The 20,694-nt window shown below is 40.4% G+C and overlaps 2 annotated features.

Moving 5' to 3' along the window:
• Window positions 15,026–15,526: an enhancer, noted in NCBI's record as "H3K4me1 hESC enhancer chr1:184332598-184333098 (GRCh37/hg19 assembly coordinates)". NCBI's record gives its function as "activates a minimal SCP1, AML or CMV promoter by ChIP-STARR-seq in primed H9 embryonic stem cells {active_cell/tissue: H9 hESC(primed)}" and the evidence as "EXISTENCE:reporter gene assay evidence [ECO:0000049][PMID:30033119]".
• Window positions 15,527–16,027: an enhancer, noted in NCBI's record as "H3K4me1 hESC enhancer chr1:184333099-184333599 (GRCh37/hg19 assembly coordinates)". NCBI's record gives its function as "activates a minimal SCP1, AML or CMV promoter by ChIP-STARR-seq in primed H9 embryonic stem cells {active_cell/tissue: H9 hESC(primed)}" and the evidence as "EXISTENCE:reporter gene assay evidence [ECO:0000049][PMID:30033119]".

The raw sequence follows: 20,694 nt of genomic DNA on the forward strand, positions 1-20,694 counted from the left end.
CAGACACCAAAATTCATGGATGCTCAAGTTCCTTATATAAAATAATATATTATTGGCATATAATATTGGCACACATCCTCCCATATACTTTAAATTATGTCTAGATTACGTGTAATACCTACTACAAGGTAAATGCTATATAAGCAGATGTTACACTGTATTGTTGAGGGAATTATGACCAAAAAAAGATCTGTACATGCTCAGTACAGATGCAACCATCCATTTGTTTTTCAAATACTTTCAATTCACAGTTGGTTGAATCCATGGATGCAGAACCCACTGATACAGAGGGCCAACTGTGTATCCATTTTATCACAGTCTACCTTCGAATAGTTTTATAGCACTTCCCATATATTTTAAGAACCTTACAATGGTGTACTCCCATTTCTGCCCTCCCATCCTTTGTGCTATTGTTGTCACCTGTTTTAATTCTACATGTTATAAACCTAACAACACATGCTTATTATACTTTTCCTTAAACAATTATCTTTTGAAGAGACTTTAAAAGTGAGGAAAATGTATCTGCTTACCTACATATTTACTATTTTCAACAATCTCTATTCTTTAGTGTAGATCCAAATTTCTTTTAGTATCACATTCCTTCTGCCTGAGGAACTTCTTTTAACATTTTTTTTTTTTTTTTTTGTAGCATAGGTCTGCTGGCAATAAATTCTCTCTGTTTTGTTTCCCTTTTTAAAAAGTCTCTCTTTAGCCTACATTTTGAAAGATACTTTTGTAGGTTGTAGACTTCCAGGATGATGCTTTTTTCTTTCAGTATTTTAAAGACTTCACTTCATTACCTTCTAGCTTCGACAGGAAGTCTGCTGCCTGCCTTTTTTGTTGTTACTGTTGTTCTTCTCTGTGTGTTGTGGCCCCATACTCTGCACTTGCTTTTAAGATTTTCTGCTTATCACTGGTTTCCAGCAATTTGATTATCATGTGCCTTGGTGTGGTATTCTTTTTCCCTTTGTTTGTGGTTCATTAGGCTTGTTGTTTTGCAAGTTTAGAGTATTCATCACTTAGACATTTTCCAGCCATTATTTCTTGAATTTCTTTTCTCTCTCCCTCCACCTGCCAGGGCTCACATAACACACGTTAGACTTCTAGATATCATCTCACAACACTGATATCCTGCTCCTTATTTCCCCAGGTTTTCCTCCTTTTGTGTTTTATTTTACTTAGTTTCTAATGTTATGTCTTCAAAGATCACTGATATTTTTTCTGTGGTGTCTAAGCTGCTATTCATCCCAGTCAGTATAACTTTCTTTCAGATATTGCATTGAGAAAAATAAAGTAGGGAAGGAAAATAGAACCCAGGTGAGTGAGATGGACATTTTAAATCAGGCCATTAAGGAAAGAATTACTGATAGGATAAAACTTGAGTAAAAACCTGAAGGAGGTGAAGTGAAGATATTCAGGTCTTCATCATTCTCCAAAGCTGTTTCTATGACACCTTTAGCACATTTCTCCTTTCTATTAAGTCTCTTCCTTCCTTCTGGTGTAGCAAGTAGCCCTCCGTTGTCTTCTGTAGGTTCCTTTTTGTCTCAAATCCTCCTTAACTATATTCTTGCACATTTTTTTCTATTTGTCTATATCCTGTCTTCCTTTCCCTTATTACAGATTCCTTTTGCTGCTTCTCTTGTGGCTTCTGTATCTACAGTGGTTTCATTTTTCTCACCCATTCTTTCCAAAGCTATGTCTGCTCATTTGTCATCTCCTTTAATAGTTTTTCACCTTATATTTGAACACCATTATTTCCTCTTTAACTTCTTATTTCTAGGGACCCTGTCCTCCTTAACTTATTTGATATCAGAAGGGAAACACATCTACTGTAGCATGTTTCTGTTTTGTGAATATTTTTTATCTGATTTTTGCTCATTATGTACCTTTTTTCTTTATGGTTGCTTTTGATTACTACTCAACTCTGAATGCGGCCAGGGCTTTTCTGCAGCAGTTGTTTATAAAAGGTTGTGTGGGAAGGCTCCATGAAGTGAGTAGAGACAGAAAGTAGCCTGGGCTTAGGACTTTCTCAAATCTTACCAAATGCATGTCTCAAATTCTGTATTCTGGAGCCCCCTTCGGGATAAGCAGAAAGTCCACTTGTCTCCTGTATGCCATGGCTTTCTTTAATGGTGATTAAATGATGACTACTGCTGATTATTTTTCTTTCTCAATTATCATCAGCACTAAGCTAATTGTCACTTGCCTCCTCTCATCTACTCCATCAAACTGACACCCATTCTTCCAGAAATGGCAGGTCTAATCAGATGATCATCCAGCTCCTCCTCTCCTGCTGCTCTAGGGTGATAAACCAGGCTTGGGATATTCTCACACCAATCTCCACGCCCTGCAGACCTACCGATACAAGTCAGCAAGTAATGGTTGGCCCTCAGTATAGGCAAACACTCTAAGGAAATCTGTCTGCCCCTCCAGGAACTGTTAAGGTATATGTTAAGATATGTGTCCACTCTTGCTCTGCTCCCTGTGTTTGGTCTACATATTACTACATTTGATAGCATTCTTCATAAACTATCATTCCCTGGCATCGTGCCTTCCTTATTTCATTTTCTTCTCTGTGGTTCATTATTGTTTTGTTATTACTGGTTTGACAGAGAAGAGTAGAACAAAAAAGCCTTCTTTCCTATCTTTAATTGGAAGTTTCTGTTTTAATTTAATTCAACTCAAAAAATATTTATTGAGTGCCCATGAAAAATAAGATTCCGTGATTAGTGCTGAGGAGAGGGAAAAGATGAGAGTAAAAAAACTTATGGCAAATATTTAAAGAACACAAGGAATCCCATTGTACTGGAACACAAACAGAAGGAAAGAAATCTTCACCTATCTCTATAGTGGCAATAGGAGTGCTCTGTTGTTTCAGCAGAAAAGTCTTTGCAACTTTGTCTTAAGTGAAATAGTCCTATTTATGTTCTGGGAGCCCTCAGGACCACCCTAATAATAGCAATGCTTGTAAGTACTAATAAAGGATGCTGAACTATCCAAATAATTATGGTAACTAATATTCAGCATGTTCTTTGGTAGGTACTTTCATGCAGACCCATGTGGGTCACTTAACAAAATAGAATTTCATTTTTTTTTTTAAAAAAAAGACCAAGTATAGAATAAGCCATTATCTGGAGTAGCTTGTTGCCTAGTTGAGAGGGTAGCTGTGCCCCGCAGACTTAAAGTAATTGTACTGTGGCAATTTAGCGAAAGGAAGGAAGGAAGGAAGGAAGGAAGGCAGGAAGGAAGGAAGGAAGGAAGGAGGGAGGGAGGGAAAGAAAAGAAAAGAAAAGAAAGAAGGAAGGAAGGAAAGAGAAAGAAGAAAGGAAAGGAAAGGAAAGGGAAGAAAGGAAAGGAAAGGAAAGGGAAGAAAGGAAAGGAAAGGAAAGGAAAGGAAAGGAAAGGAAAGGAAAGGAAAGGAGGAGACATTGCATCTCTTCAGGAGGCCAGGCAGAAAACAAAAAATAGATAAAACCAAGGGCTTTAGGGCCCCCGATGATGCAGTAGGCAAGGAAATAAATTTAAATATAACTAAGCAGAAAGGAGAAGTAGTGGCCACTTTTTATTTTCCTTAAATCTAGGGATATTGACACCAAAAATTAAACTTCAATAATTTATGGAGTTAAAGTGCTTTTGCCTTCTGCCCCAAACCATGACAAAAAGTCTTCACCCCAAGGAAGCAGTATTTGATTCTCAAAGCATGTGCTCACTCATTTGCTGCTGACCTCCCTGCCCATCCCCTTTTCCCTGACTCCTCTGTATGTCCTCAAGGGCCATATTTTCCTCAGTGTCTTCTCCCCTCTGGGTTCTAGGTAGAGACCAATGGGACTCTGACCTGCTATTTATAAAACTGAGCTTGCAAAGTGAACAGTGGGCTCTTCTCCTCTTTCTGAATCTTCTGGGATGTCCTACAGATGCACTAGCTATGGAGCCATTTAATTGGGGAAGGGACTTGGGATGAAAAAGCTCAAGAACTGCTGGCCTAACATCAAACTTTGGTTTTTGGAAACATTAGTATATGCCCAAGTCAAATTGGTGACAGATGGCTCTGGATTGCAAGTAACTATATATAAACATATTCTTAGAAAATATGTTCTATTGATTTAGCAATAAGAATCAGATGAATCCTATCAGGAGCCATGGAAGGAAGAAAATGGACTGTTATGGACCTGAAATCTCTGGGAAAATGGTTTTCTAAAATATAGTCATCACCGGGGGACTTGTTAGAATTGCAAATTCTCGGGCCTCTCCTTAGACCTGCTGGACCAAACATTTTGAGGGTGGGGGCCCCACAACCGAGTTTAACAAGCCCTCCCGGTGATTCTGATGTATGTTAAAATTTAAGAACCAGTGTAGTGGGGGAAGAAAATAACTCAAGGCATAGATCAGTGGGTCTCAAATTTTGTGTTGCCTCAGAATCCCCTGGAGAGCTTATTGAAACAAATATCACTAGATCCTACTCTGTGAATGTTTGATTCAGTGGGGCTGGGGTGGGGAGAATTTGCATTCCTAACAAATTCCTAGGTGGTGCTGATCCTGCTGGCCCCAGAACCACACTTGGAGAACCACCAGTCTACATAAAAGATTTAGGCAAGTAGAAAACTTTCCTGGCTCAAGACTAGAAAAGGATTTTCTGGTCTAAGGGGTTGGAAAGCAGGGGAGGAGGATAAGTAATAACTACATAGACATGTTAGTAATTTATATAGAAAAAAGCTCTGCTTCCTTCGGGCTCTAGGGAGACAGCAAAGCAGTAAGACTGCTGCTTTAGGCAGTCAGGGTTTTAGAATCACTAATTGACTTTCCTACTCTCCAGGTGTGGGAATGGTTGGAAAGTAGGGATATGCTGTCCAGAATAGGCCAAGTGAACAATCTTCAAAGTGGCCTGCATGAACCAATGCCCAATCATGATGATGACATGTTCATTGATACCTGAATGAAGAGATAAATTCATAGAAAAGATTATCCTCCTCACACCAAACGCCCTGACAATGTAGCAATGGGAAGCTTCCAGAACTCAACCATGAACTGAGGGAAAGTGGAGAAACCAAGATGGTGCATTTGAAAGGAGGCTATGTTGTTAGCACCTTTCATAGGCTCTTTAGAATAATGTGAAAGACAAAAATTTTGAAATGTTATTTCAGTAATTCTTAGGAAACACAAGTGAAGTACGGTGCCTCACGATAGGGTTACCCTTCAAGCGTGAACCCAAAATGGTCACCTCAGATGCCCTACCAAAGCAATTTCCCTGATGGGGGGCATCAAATAGAAATTGAGTCATAGCCAGGAATGGTGGTGAGCACCTGTAGTCCCAGCTACTTGGGAGGCTGAGGCAGGAGGATCGCTTGAGGCCAGGAGTTCTGGGCTGCAGTGTGCTATGCTGACTGGGTGTCTGCACTAAGTTCAGCATCAATATGGTGACCTCCAGGAGAAGAGGACCACTAGGTTGCTTAAGGATGAGTGAACTGGACCAGGTCAGAAATGGAGCAGGTCATGGCAACACAGCAAGACCTTGTCTCTAAAATAAATAAATAAATAAATAGAAATTGAGTCATAAAACATAAAATGACTAATTTTGAAGAAACAATTGGTAAAATTCAAATGGAGAGACATTCTTTCAAACAGCTGGCCTATACATTCAAATATATATACATATTTATATTTGGTAAACAAATATGTATATTCTGTAAACAAATTGTTTGCCAAAAAATTAAGAATTCTCCATCTGCGTATGATGAGGTGTTATATTTTTGTCATTAATGGTCACCTGCATCTTAGATTATGGCATTATATCAATAGTTTTCTAAATTTGAACAAAAATGAACATGGCTTTGTGAATTGAGATCCGTACCTGCTATGCCCATACCCATATCCTTATGCTTAACACTTTTTCAGAATGGTGAAGACCAGAATAGTGAAGGTTCAGCACCTTAGAGAACTTACACACCAAGAATAGGAATTGTTTTTTCTTTCTTTCTTTCTTTCTTTCTTTCTTTCTTTCTTTCTTTCTTTCTTTCTTTCTTTCTCTCTCTCTCTCTCTCTTTCTTTCTTTCTTTCTTTTTCTTTCCTTCCTTCCTTCCTGCCTTCCTTTCTTCCTTTTTTTTTTTTTGAGTCAAAGTCTCACTCTGTCACCTAGGATGGAATGCAGTGGCGCAATTTCGGTTCACTGCAACCTCTGCCGCCTGGGTTCAAGCAATCTCCTTCCTCAGCCTCCGAGGTAGCTGGGATTACAGGGATGCACCACCACACTCAGCTAATTTTTTGTATTTTTAGTAGAGACGGGGTTTCACCATGTTGGCCAGGCTGGTCTCAAACTCCTGACCTCAGGTGATTTGCCCACCTCGGCCTCCCAAAGTGCTTGGATTACAGGCCTGAGCCACTGTGCCTGGCCTGTGAGTGATCTAAAATAAAACTTTAAAGAGGCCATGGTTGAATTCCTTCTCTAGGTGGTTAATAGGATATTCTTGGAGTGGAATTTTGTCCAGGGCAGGTGTGGAATATCACACAGTCTTGATTTCAGGGATTTCCCAGGGTGATAACAGCCACAGTTTACCACAGACACCTGAGACAGGAAAAACGGCTTCTTGTAATCCCTTTCAAAGTGAATGTTCTTTGATTTCTCTCCTTCTATGATCTTTCTTGTCTCTGAATTCAATAGTGTTTGCAGTCTGAACCAAATACCCTCATGCTTGATTTTATCCAGGCAGGTATTTTTCACCTGTTGTTTCAAGTACATATCACTCATCTCCCAGCCCAGATATAACCTCTGCAGAGGCAGGAACTGCGTCTTCCATTACTTTCACCTCCTGTGTAGCACTCTACCATGCTAGAACCCTGTAAGCACAGAAGAGAAATACTTATTGATTCACAGAATGCAATGAATGAAGAATGAGGGGGGAGTACCTTTTTTCCTAATCTGCCTATTTAAAAAATAAGCTCTTCTCAGAAACATGTCTATTGGATTTGAGAGGAGTTGAGTAACAAATTATTTACCAAAAAATTAAGAATTCTCCATCTGCATATGAGGAGGTGTTTTATTTGTGTCATTAATGGTTGTCTGCATGTTCCTTTCTACGCCTTGTCAGAGAACTGCCACATGCCTCATTATTTATGGCCAACAATGATGCATTTGTAAGTTTACTTGTTGCTTGAAGCCCAGACAAGACTGTGAAATAAGCAAAATCTGGCTCTGCCATCCCTCCTTAGGACTGTTCATATCCTCATCCTATCCCCCATCCCCACTCTCCCATCTTCTTTTAACTAGTAGTCAACCAATTAGCCAGTAAGAGCTAAATTATTACCCATCTAGGACTATGTTTCTTTTAGTAAAGGATTCATGAAGAGCTAACTTTTAAAATCTAAAGAAATGGATCTCTAATTGCAAACTTTCTGATCTTCAATAGACAGTGGGAGATTTCACAACCAGGCTCCTTAAATCTCCCCTTCTAGAGCCTATTTTACCTACTCCTGAGGCCAGGGCTAGTAAGATTTAGGAAAAAGATCTCATTTCGATGTGAGGTGTAAAAACTCAGGTTTTTCATTTCACATAGGTATATTCATGCTTTGGGGAATGGATGTGGGTTAATGAAACTCACAAGTTACTGGTTTAGAAGTCAGAAAGTAATTTATTAATTTGTTTATGCTTTTCTTGTTCTTAGAATATGTATGTATTCTATTTAAGAAATAGATATCAAATATCTGACAGAGGTGCCAATAATTTCTCCTGCCATGCTCAGAGCAGACATTGCTACTTAAGCACAGCATTCTTTTCCTTGTTAACCCAGTGATTCAGACATCCATTGCCATTGGTCTGTGCTGGCATGCAAGATGAAACATTTTCTGCCATTGCTATTCTTCCTGACATCAAGGTACCTAGGAAGTAATAATTTATTAGAATATTGTTTGGCAAAAATGGAATCAAAGCAAATGACCAATTACAAAAAAATTAGGAAAAAAAATAACACAAGTGAAAATAAATTAGAACTAAGGAATTATAAAATAAATTAGAACATCAAGATGGGGGAAGGGGCATGGTTCTGTGTAGCTAATGTCATTAGAACTTAATATAGGTTTACTGGCATCAGAAGCTTAAAAAAGAAAGAAAAAGAAGGTAGACAGGAAGGAAAAAAGCAAGGAAGGGAGGGAGGAAGGAAGGAAGGAAAGAAGAAAAGCAGTGAGAAAGGGAGGATGGAAGGGAGGAAGAAAGAAAGAAGGAAAAGTTTTTGGATAGACTGTCACAGGAGGGACAGCAAGTGATATGTTAGACAATGTCCTTATTTCTATGACAAATGAAGCAATGAACTTCATAATTCATAAGACTATGTAATATCCCTTAGTAAATGCCAAGGGCATAAGCCTCGGGCATAATTCAATAAAGACAGTTCCAGAGTGGGTCCAGATAATGTGTTCTAATTTAATCTCAGAAAAAGAACCTAGACTACTGAGACGCATAGGTGGGTAATACCAAAGGGAATGTGATCATTTTGTAGAATTTTTGAAGCCTGGGATATTATTGCCAACGCACTATATAGTATAACTTTCTAATGACTGTAATACCAAAAACTAGTGTCATTCTTGGGTAAGCCAAGACAAAACATCATTCTTCTCTCCCTTTTAAGTAGTCCTGAGGGTTCACCAGAAACTTCTGCCATTGCATTCCCTCATAACATTGCTATGTCCCATGTTAAGGCATTTCTGAATCAACTATCTTTTAAAATAATTGCTTCTTGCAAACATATGAAACATATTAAATTGACAACATTTGTCCATACAGTGTAAGACGTGGTGCTGTGTCCTCAAACACAGAAATTGTGATTCCAGTAATTTCACAATCTAGTACAGTTCTTTGTAGACATAGGTGCTCAATAAATATGCATCAGGCCAGGCGTGGTGGCTCATGCCTGTAATCCCAGTATTTTGGGAGGCCGAGGTGGGCGAATCACCTAAGGTTGGGAGTTTGAGACCAGCCTGACCAACATGGAGAAACCCCGTCTCTACTGAAAATACAAAAAATTAGCTGGGAGTGGTGGTGCATGCCTATAATCCCAGCTACTCAGGAGGCTGAGGCAGGAGAATTGCTTGAACCTGGGAGGCGGAGGTTGCAGTGAGCCGAGATTGTACCATTGCACTCCAGCCTGGGCAACAAGAGTGAAACTCTGTCTCAAAAAATAAAAATAAAAAATATATATTCATCAAATGAATAAGTATCAAGGACACTTGTATTATTTTCTCCCACGTGTTTCAGATTTTGCAAGTTTGTCTAGTAGACAATTTGCATTTGAATAATAATGGATTTGCTTTTACAGATCAGTATAACTAGTTTTAGCTCCTGGACTCAATATAATTATAGTAAAATGCAAAGAAACATGACATTTTAGCCTGATCTCAGTCATCTCAAGTAAATGAAAAGCTTCTTGAGATTATGTTTGGTCCTGTTCATTCTTACAGAGAATGAAACACACTTTCTAGTCATGGAATGTTGCCTTAGTTTGGGAGCTTCTCTCGATGATATGTGTGTGATCCTACCTTACACCATAAACCAAAATAAATTCCAGAATGATTTAAGAAGTAATTGTAGAAAATACAACAATAATTTTTAAAACTAAAATAAAATTTAGATGAATATTTATCTTTCTCACATTTGAGAAATAGAGCCATTAAAATATTAAGAAAAAAATTAAAGTTTTCGGCACATAAAAGTTAAATTCCTCTTCATGTAAAAAAAACTAAAGGCAAAGAAAAAGTAAGAATATATTCTTCTTAATAACCTTCACTTATAAAGCACTAATATAATCAAAAAGAAAATTATTTTCTCAATAGAAAGATTGGCAAAGGGCACTGACAATTTTAAGAAGAAAAAATAACAATAGCCATTTAAAACCTTGTTTAAGCGGTCAGTATTACTAGTAGTGTGGAAATGGAAATTAGAGTAAGATACTCAGTTTGATCTATCACTTTACTACATATTTCAAAAATAATAATACTTAACACTGGCAAGGGAATAGATTTTCTGGAAAGCATTTTGGCAATATGTTCCAAAAATCTTTAAAGTTCCCAGTCAAACAGGGAAAGACCATATTTATATTATAATTTATAATGGCCAAAAACTGGGGAGAAAAATAGATGTATTATTTACCATGTCCAAAAACTGGGAAGAAAAATAGATCTCTAAAGAGAAAGTAAAAGGTTCAAATAATTAAAATGTGTAGTGGAAGATTTTTTTTTTTTTTTTTCCGAGACAAGGTCAGGCTTTATCACCCAGGCTACAGTGTAGTGGGGCAATCTCTGCTCACTGCAACCTCCGCCTCCTAGGCTCAAGCGATCCTCCTACCTCAGCCTCCAGAGTAGCTGGAATTACGGGCATGCACCACCACACTTGAGTAATTTTTTGTATTTTTTGTAGAGATAGGGTTTTGCCATGTTGCCCAGGCTGGTCTTGAACTCCTGGCCTCAAGTGATCCACCCACCTCGGCCTCCCAAAGTGCTGGGATTACAGGCGTGACACGCCACTGCCCTTGGCCTCAGTGGAAGAAATGTTGATGAAACTGTGAAATCATGAAAAAATTTGTATGAAATAATCCTAAATAAAAAACTATACATAGCTATATATGCACTACAATTTCATTTACTTAAAACCTATGTATCACCAGGCGTGGTGGCTCATGCCTGTAATCCTAGCACTTTGGGAGGCTAAGGCAGGAGGATTACTTGAGCCCAGGAGTTCAAGACCAGCCTGGGCAACCTAGTGAAACACTAGTCTCTGTTAAAAATTTTTAAGTTTTTTTAAAAAGACCTATGTATCTATATAGACATGGAAAAAATTTAGAATATACCAAAATAGTAAAATATTAACTTTGGGTTGTACTAATATAAATAATTTTTTCTTCTTTGTACTTTTTCCTTATTTTCCAAATCTACAATTATCATACATGATTCTCCCATGTTTTAAAAAGCAGCATATGAAATTTTAAAATGCAATGCCTGACCTAAATGGCAGATTCTAGAATGTTTCCATGTAAACATTTAGCTTTTTCTGGTTGAGTTGTTTCCCAGAACATCCTCTGGATTCTGTGGTCTGGTGTTATGTTGTACCCTTAAACTGTTCTCAACTTACTCACCCAGGGGCAGGTGTACTTCAGTGATAGATGATAGAATTCCTTAGGACTATACCTAAATTATTAAAAGTCAGGCCAGACCTGATGGATTGGATATGTGGTTTACAGTAAGAAAAAAAAAATAGCCTGTCCCAAAGAAATAGCTAAACGTGTCACCACTGGATTTCAGAAGCAAACTTTTTGCTCTGCAGTCTCCCCTGGAAGCCTTCCTTAAGTCCCTTGGAAGGTGAAGGGTGCCTCTCTTGGGTTCTCGTGCTGTCCTGACTTGACCTCAGCATTTTCTGCATTGTACTGAATTAATCTGTTCACCCGCCTCCCACTCCTCCTTCCCCCTACCCACAGGCTCCAACAGAACTGTGAATTCCTTACACACAAACCTCTGTTTTACTCACCTCTGTAGCTTCAGAACACAGCCCTAGGCAGTCTGAATGATATTTCTTGTCTAGTGATTTCACCTGAAACTTGACCCTTAAAAATGAATTCAAATGAGATGTGAAAATATTAGTCTCTTGAACTAACATCGGTGAATGATGCAGAATCCTGCCTGCTTCCTCAACTTGGCGTGGCGAATCACACATCTATAAAATTGGTGGTTTCAGATTGTTCTGCCCAAAAGTGGTGGTATGAAACCCAACCCTTGCATCATTATCACATGCTCTATTACAACTCTCCCTGTCCATCAGCAGACTAAGCATTAACTTAAATAAAGCTTTCTTTTAATAACTTTGCTTGGAAATGATCATGTAAAACCATGAAATCGAACTGAAAGTTTCTTGTTTCACTGAAATTGGACCAACATTGACTTCACGCACTAACTGCTGGTGGGGCAGGGGCCTCCTCTCTGCTATCTCCCAGTCTCTTATTTGTTCAGCCAGAGGCCAAGATGAGGTTGAACTCTACATCCTACAGGAATCCTGAGAGACTCTTTGAACTGGTAAAATCCTTCCATCCGGGACTTGCCTATATTGGAGCATCAGTGTTGTTTGCTCTGTAGGACCAAGCCTTGTCCAACTAGAGAATCAGCATCCTACAAGGGCCCTCTGGTCTGTGAAACCTTGCCCACCTTGATGCCCTCCTTTGAGCCCCAACCGACTTTGATAAGCTTCTTCCCATGTCTGTTTCTTTCACTATCCTGTAAGTTCCTTGAAGGTCAGAACAATATTTCATATATTTTTGTGGCATGAGTGCCTAGCACATGCCTGAAATACAGTCAATAATAAATTGAATTGAACCACTGGGGAAAAGGATGTTTTTAGATGCTTACTATATTTTTAGACTCACTCTGGGAGTTACAACCACTTCTATACAGAAATATAAGCTTCTTCTAGGACATAGTGTGATTAGTAGAAAGCTTTTTCATAGTAGTGTAGGGCAGGTGAGCCCCAAATTGGAGCTTAGCCCCAAAGGGTTCTTGGCTTTGCTCAGAAAAGAACTGCTTTCTAACTTTTAAGTTCAGGGGTACAAGTGCAGGTTTGTTACATGGATAAACTTGTGTCATGGGGTTTGTTGTACAGATTATTTTGTCACCCAGGTATTAAGCCTACTACTCATTAGTTATTTTTCCTGATCCTCTCCCTCCTTCCACCTTCCACTCTCAGAAAGGCCTCAGTGGTGTTGTTCCCCTCTTTTCAGAGTGAGCCAGTGGTAGAACAAATCAGCTTTATGGAGGTGACAGTATTACAGCTCCGGGACTCCTCCTGCAGAGCAGGCTATCCTATAGGCAGTGTGTGGAGAGGAGCAGCTCAGAGGCTGTTTTGTAGTTATATTTATACCCACTTTTAATTACATGCAAATTAAGGGGCAGATTATGCAGAAAGTTTTAGGAAAAGGGTGGTAACTTTCAGGTGGTGAGGTTGTTGCCATGGAAAGGGGAGGTAACTCTGATGTGTTGCATGGCAATGGTAAACTGACATGGCACACTGGAGGGCATGTCCTATGGAAAGCTGTTTCTACCCTTTCCCTGTTTTAGCTAGTCCTCAATTTGGTCTGGTGTCTGAGCCCAACCTCCAGAGTCGTGTCTCATCTCCTACCTCAATAGTTCTATGACTTTAGTAACTTTATATACTAGCAAGTTAATATCTCTTGAGCCTCCATTTTCTGATCCATAAAAGAGGGAGTGATACTAACTGTATTGTTGTCAAGATTAAATGAAATTATGCCACTCCCCTGGCACATAGTAGGGGGTTAAAAATCTCACAGCTGGGTTTAGAGTTTCCCCCATGCCTACCAAAACAAATTTTCCCACCAAAGCTTTTCCCTTCTCCTTAAGAATCTTACTTTTCTTCCATGAGAACTCATGATCCTTTAGAGCAGGGCTCAAGCAAACATTTTTTGTAAAAGCCCAGATAGTCAATACTTTAGGCTTTGTGGGCTGCAGGGTATCTGTTGTATATTCTTCTTTGTTTTTGCTATTGTTGTTGTTTTGGTTTTGTTTCTTTACACCTTTACCTTTTTTTGCCTTCTTTACGTTTTAAAATGTAAAATCATTCTGAGCTCATGGGCTATACAAAAGCCTCTAGCCAGACTGGACCCACAACCTGCAGTTTGCTGAACCCCGCTGTAGATCAGTGGTTCTCAAAGTGTAGTCCCCTAACCAGCAGCATCAACGTCTTTTGGGAATTTGTTCAAAGATGCAAATTCTCGGGCCCCATCCCAAACCTACTGAATCAGAAATTCTCAAGTTGGGCCCAGTAATCCGTATAGTAATAAGCCTTCTGGGTGATTCTGATGCAGGCATTCAACAGCGGTTGCATATTAAAATCACCTTTAAAACATTTCAATACCCAGGCTTTACCCTATATCAAATCAGAAACTCTGGGGGCGGGACTAGGCATCCTTTGTTTAAAGTCCTGCAGGTGATTCAATGGGCAGCCATAGCTGAAAACCACTGGTATAAATCTGAGAGATAGTTTTTGTATCTGCAAAGAAAGATTTAGTGCTAATAATATTGCCAAGGTATGCAATACTTGAGAATCTTCTTGTTTTGATAATTTCTTGAAGGAATTCCACGACAATCAATTAATCAAAGGATGACTATACAGTACTACATATAAAGCACCAAGTTAGGTATCCTGGAAATATTTTCTTGAAGCGTATTTATATGGTCCCATCTACTTCTGAGTAGTTTGCATATGGGAAATCAAACTTCTCCGTTTCGAAGAAGCTTATAATTTCCGTTTTACAAGGAAGGACCAACTCAAGAAGCACCACCCAAATTTGTTCACTGAGGTTAAACCTGAAAGACATCTTCACTGGTTACCATTTTCTTACTCCCCTCACCATTGCCCAACAGGCTGGTTCCTTATTTCATTATTCCAAATGGAGTAAGTTGTAGGGTGATTCATTCTTGTTGCAAAAGCACATTTTTCCTATAAATATTCTGTGGAAAAGCCTTTGTATGGTTTTATACTGGTAGGATAATTCTAGAGTGCCACATTTGACAAATGACATCAGCTTGCCTGCCTAGCCATAAACCATTTTATAACTCTTATGCATAATTTGGCTTCAGGTCAAGGTGGTGTAATATGAACAAGCAGAATATACAGCACAGAGTGTCCTCAGAAGCTATCTTAAAGATCAGCAAAACTCATTCCTGTAAGAGAAGCTCATCTGTGAAGCAAGGTCAAGCCCAGTGGTCATCAGAGAAGGATCCCGTAGCTGGAGTTGCTCTTTGCATGGAAGTGCTTCTGCCTTGTACCTCTGCTGTGGCAGACCCTCTAGTTGCCCACCTTACATCCATTCCCTCTACCATCAACTACTGCCCCGTTTTCTTGTTATAGGTATTCCCATTTGTTCAGGAATCAAACAGCCAAATTCTTCAGGGGAGGCTGGCCTTCTCCCCAGCCCCAGGGGTTGAATCTCAGTGGTTGGACAAATCATGATAATTCCATTTCCTTTCCAGTCATTGGTTTAGGAATAAGCATGCGACCCACAATTCTGGCCAATGATACTTCTTGTTTTGACAGGAAGTCTGCAGGGGGACTTCTGCAAGGGGAAGTCTGCAGGCCTCAAAGATGGGCAGCAGTTGGGACAGCTCTCACAGGAAGGTCTTCAGGATCACAGCAGGGACATGTATGTCTCCATAGCTGTCAAAGTTCATGGGCTTCCCTGCACACAGAACACAGTACAGCTGAGGTCTGGGCTCTGGCCTGGAGTTTGCTGCTGCAAAACGAGCTCTGAAGCAAAATGGCTTGAAAACTCCTGGTGCAAATAGCCTTATTCTAGAGCTACATGTCCCATGGATGACTTTGTCCTCACCTGGATATGGGGGTGCTCTTACCTCACCAGCCCCCGTGGCTGCACACCTCGCCGTTACTGCTTCCTCCTGGGTCCCCGGCAGAGGCTGGGGTGGGCTATTTAGCTTCTCTGCAGTGTTGCTTCCAGCTCGGATGGAAGCTCTCTGAGCCCAGGGCCTTAGCACAGGTGACACACAGCCCACAGGCCTGGGACAGGCAGGCAGATGAGTGCCCGAGCTTGGCACCATGCAGCCCTGAGGCTTCGTGAGTAAGGCACGATTGATCGTGTGAGCAGGAGGGATCGAGGGCAAGTCTTCTCAGCAAGGTGGTGGCTTCATTAGTGTTTGCATAGAGGACTCTGCGGGAGGAGCTTCTGGAAAGTTCTGTTTGCTGTTCAAAAGAAATATAAAGATGTTTCTTCTTAGGCCATTGGATACTTTTGTGTGGATATGATGCTCAGGGCTGCTGTAGCCACCTTGAAACCATGAGTGAATATGCCTGGAGCCAAAAGCTAACACAATGAGGATGGTGTAATAGAAAGATGGTTTATTAGGTTCTCCAGAGAAACATATATAGAGAGAAATATAGAGAGATGTAAGAGGAGACATATAATGAAACTTGGCTCACACAATTATAGAGGCCTACAAGTTCCAAGATCTGCCAACGGCAAGCTGGAGAACCAGGAAATTGACTCCTGGTGATGTAACTCCCACTCCGAGGCCAAAAGCCTGAGAACCCGGAGTGTTCTCAAGGTCAAGGGAGGGACAGTGGGAGGTGGAGCTAGTGTAAGTCCCAGAGTCAGAAGGCCCCAGAACCAAGAGCTGTGATGTCCAAGGGTGGGAGAAAATGGATGTCTCAGATCAAGGAGACAGGGAGAGGCTGGGCATGGTGGCTCATGCCTGTAATCCCAGCACTTTGGGAGGCCAAGGTAGGCGGATCACTTGATGTCAAGAGTTCAAGACCAGCCTGGCCAACATGGTGAAATCCCGTCTGTACCAAAAAAAAAAAAAAAAAAAAAAAATTAGCCAGAGGTGGTGGTGCATGCCTATAATCCCAGCTACTTGGGAGGCTAGGGCAGGAGAATCACTTGAACCCGGGAGGTGGAGGCTGTAGTAAGCCAAGATTGTGCCACTGCACTCCAGCCTGGGTGACAGAGTGAGGCTCCATCTCAAAAAGAAACAGACAGGGAGAGAATTCACTCTGCTATTCAGTGGGCATTCAGTGGATTGGATGATACTTGCCCACAATGGTGAGGGCAGATCTTCTTTACTTAGTGCACTGATTCAAATGCTCATCTCTTCCAGAAACACTCTCACAAACACACCCAAAAATAATGTTTAGTCACCTACCTGGGTATTCCTTACCCAGTCAAGTTGACACAAAAAATTAGCCATCACAGATGGGAAGAATCTGGATCCCCAGTGAACTCTGAGCTGAATTTAAAACCCCAAAATCACCTGACTTCAAGACTTTATTGTTATGTGAGGTAATAAATGCCCTTATTGTCTAAGCCACTTCTGGTGGATTTTCTGTTCTTACAGTCAAAAGCATCCTAACTAGCCAGGCAAGGTGGCTCACACCTGTAGTCCCAGCATTTGGGGAGGCTGAGGTGGGTGGATCACTTGAGCTCAGGAGTTCAAGACCAGCCTGGGCAACATGGTGAAACCCCCTCTCTGCAAAAAATATAAAAATTAGCAAGGCATGGTGGTTTGCGCCCATAGTCTTATCCACTTGGGAGGCTGAGGTGGGAGGATTACTTGAGTCTGGGAGGTGAAGGGTACATTGAGCTGTGATCGCACCCCTGCACTCCCACCTGGGCAACAGAGTGAAACAAAAGCATCTTAACTAATACGTCTGTTAGCCCCATAACCAACTCTAGAAGAACCTTATATCTCATATTATAGTATCTGATTACTCCAAGAAAATACACATTAGTACTGGGATTTTTCTGTTGGGAGAAAGATTTTTTTTTTTTTGCTCATTCCTTTCCTAGTTTTCTCCCATACTGACATAGCAGCTTGTCTCCACCACAAGGCTTAGTCTCACTGAGTACTTTGTAGCTACCACTCATTCATGAAGACCTGACTGAGCTTTTAGTTCTGACATTATTGCATCAGCCTAAAACAGAATGGTAGTCCTAGCCACATCAGACACCGAAACAATGAAGAGAAGTCTTTATCATTCAGGTGCTGGCATTTTAATTATCTGTTTGTTGTTGTTGACATTGACATTGTCATCTCCATCGCCAGCAGTCTGAGCTCCCCAAAAGCTTCTCTATAATATGCCCAGTGCTTCACATATAATAGGCATTTAACAAATGTTTGTTATATGAATGCATGAGTGAACTCTAGTTACAATTAGAATGTCAAGGAGGATTTGGAGAACTTGAAGATCTGTGTGGTTCCATTTTTGAGATAGAAACTGAAATACTAACTAGCCTTTTTCTGCCACATCTAGTTAAAACCAAAGAGTAAAAAGTATCATACCACCCTTTTTAAGAATGAAGTGTCCTCCTTCCTTGCTCTTCCTCTGATTCTCATGCTTGCTCTCTCTGGAAGTTTTGGAATCTAAATGATCTGATCCTGTGAATTTTTTTATTTTTTATTTTATTTTATTTTATTTTTTGAGACTGAGTCTTGCTCTGTCGCCCGGGCTGGAGTGCAGTGGTGCAATCTAGGCTCATTGCAAGCTCCGCCTCCCGGATTCACGCCATTCTCCTGCCTCAGCCTCCCAAGTAGCTGGGACTATAGGTGCCCGCCACCGATCCCAGCTAATTTGTTTGTATTTTTAGTAGAGACGGGGTTTCACTATGTTAGCCAGGATGGTCTCAATCTCCTGACCTTGTGATCCACCCGCCTGGGCCTCCCAAAGTGCTGGGATTACAGGTGTGAGCCACCGCGCCTGGCCCCTGTGAATATTTTTTAAACAGATAGTTTCATGCCTGCAAGAAGATTTTTCTTTGAAGCCCAAGGAATTCCATCACTGTTGGTTACAAGACTCTGGTGCACTGGTGTGTGCATTTTGAGAGGGTCGTGTAGTTATGTTAGCTCTATAGTAGCTAGTTTATTGGAACTTCAAAGGCATAAGACTGTATATAGCATTGCTTGAAGAAGTACCGTCTTCGGAAATATTTTATCCAGCAGACTGACTTTGGTAGCTAGGGTAAAGAAAAGAATTGGCTTTGTTCGCTTTCCTGTGTGCCTTCCCCCCACTATCTCCCTGCCCAGAGAAGGGCAGATTTGTGACAGTCAGGGTGAGCGTGGCCACAGAAGGAAATGTCCTCCTGCTTTCTTGTGGAAACTTCATTATCTGTCTCAGAGAAGGGAGGATGATTCACGCTAAGATTAAATGTTGCAAGAATCAGATCCTACACATTGAGAGAGATTGAATGACCTCAACGGAGAAAAAGAAGCGTCACGCTGAGACCGGGCTTCTCTGAAGCTAATTCTGCTTCGGAAATTAATTCTCAGTGGACAGCACTTCTGCAATCGTCCCATGAAGGAGGAGAGCATGTGATAGCAAGGGAAACGTGTATTTAATGTGCTCCCTGCGGTCCCTGGTGTCCCTGGTCATCCATGCGAGAATATAAAAGTTATTGGCTGAATCCCAATGATTTATATTAATCCCTCCACAGCAGAGTGGCTTGAATCTCTACCTAACACTTACTTAATGTTTCCTTATGAAACAGTGACTTACTTATATGTCTGTTTCTTCCATTAAATTTTAAGTACCTTGAAGCCTGGTCCATGTTTCAAGTCATCTTTGAACCCCAGTGCCTGAAATACTTACAGTAGCAGACACTCAGTAAATATTTTGAAATGGAACTAAACCATTCTGTAACAGTGAAAGGGCCCAGACTCTATCAGTTGGCAGATATTTACTAAGCTGAGAAGAAATAAGACAGAGACTGTAAATAAAAGTGTTCTGCTCATATAATGAGAAGAGTCTGGGGTTTGGAATCAGATAGACCATGTTTTGAATTCCAGCTTTGTCACTCACTGATTGTTCTAGTTTGAGTTACTTACTTAGCCTCACTGAGCCTCAGTTTCATCCTCTGTGAAATGGGGATAACAACAAATTTCTCAATGGATTGTTGGAAAAGTGAAATGAGGTGATGATACAGGTGGAATAGTGGCCCCCTGCAAAATTTATATGTTGGAATCCTAGCTCCCAGTACCTCAGAATGTGACCTTATTTGGAAATATGGCCATTGCCAATGTAGCTCATTAAGATAAGGCCAAACTGGAAAAGCGTGTTCACCCTACTCTAGTACAACTGGTGACCTTATAAGAAGGGAAAATTTGGAGTCAGAAAAGCATGCAAGAAGAACACCATGTGAAGATTAAGGCAGACGTCAGAGTGATGTTTCTACAAGCCAAGGAACACCAGAGATGATCAGCCAACCACCAGAAGCTAAGGGAGAGGCATGGTACACATTCTTCTTTCCAGCCCTCAGAAGGACCCATACCAACCAGACCAACAACTTGATCTTGGCCTTCTAGCCTCCAGAACTCTAAGACCACAAATTTCTGTAGTTTAAGCCACTGTGTTCCTGGTGCTTTGTTATAGCCATCATAGCAAACAAATGCAGGGAGCATAAGTAGTACACTGAGGGGCAGAGCCTGGAATAACAAGTATTCAAAATTTGTACTTATTATTCCCTCTTTCTGTATTAGACTTTCCTGGGAGTTTGTGTTTAAGAATGACTTTGGCTGAAGGTTAACATTTGGTGATGGTAGGAACAACTGAAAACAGGAGTGAGTAATGATATAACGATTTATTTTGGGAAGGTAGAGATTGGGTAATACAAGGCAATATAAATGTGAAGAAATAGCATTAGGTAGCGGTATGCTCCATGGTTTGAGTGAAATATTTCTATCTAAAGACATACATTTTCTGGAAGTTATTAAAAGTTTACTTCTGTTTTTTTTTTCTAGTATTTTTCTTCTTCTGAAAGCTATTAGTAGAAGTAATGACAACTGATTATGGTGCTCATGATATATCCTTAAAGCTAAAAGATAACCAGCCCACAAAAATGAAATCAAACAATGTTCGTAGCAGCACTATTCACATTAGCCAAAGAGTGGAAGCAACCCAAATGTATACCAACAGATTACTGCATTAACAAAATTTGGTGTGTATATAATGGAATATTATTCAGCCTTAAAAAGAATGAAATTGTTACACATGCTACAAATGAACAAACCTCAAAAACATTCAATAAGTGATCTAAGCCAGACACCAAAAGACAAATATTATATTATTCCAGCTAGAAGTTCCTAGAGTAGGCAAATTTATAGAGACAGAAAGTAAAATAGTGGTTACCAGAGGCTGAGGAGAGAGAAGAG

Source organism: Homo sapiens, chromosome 1, assembly GCF_000001405.40.
Source record: "Homo sapiens chromosome 1, GRCh38.p14 Primary Assembly".
NCBI lineage: Eukaryota > Metazoa > Chordata > Mammalia > Primates > Hominidae > Homo > Homo sapiens.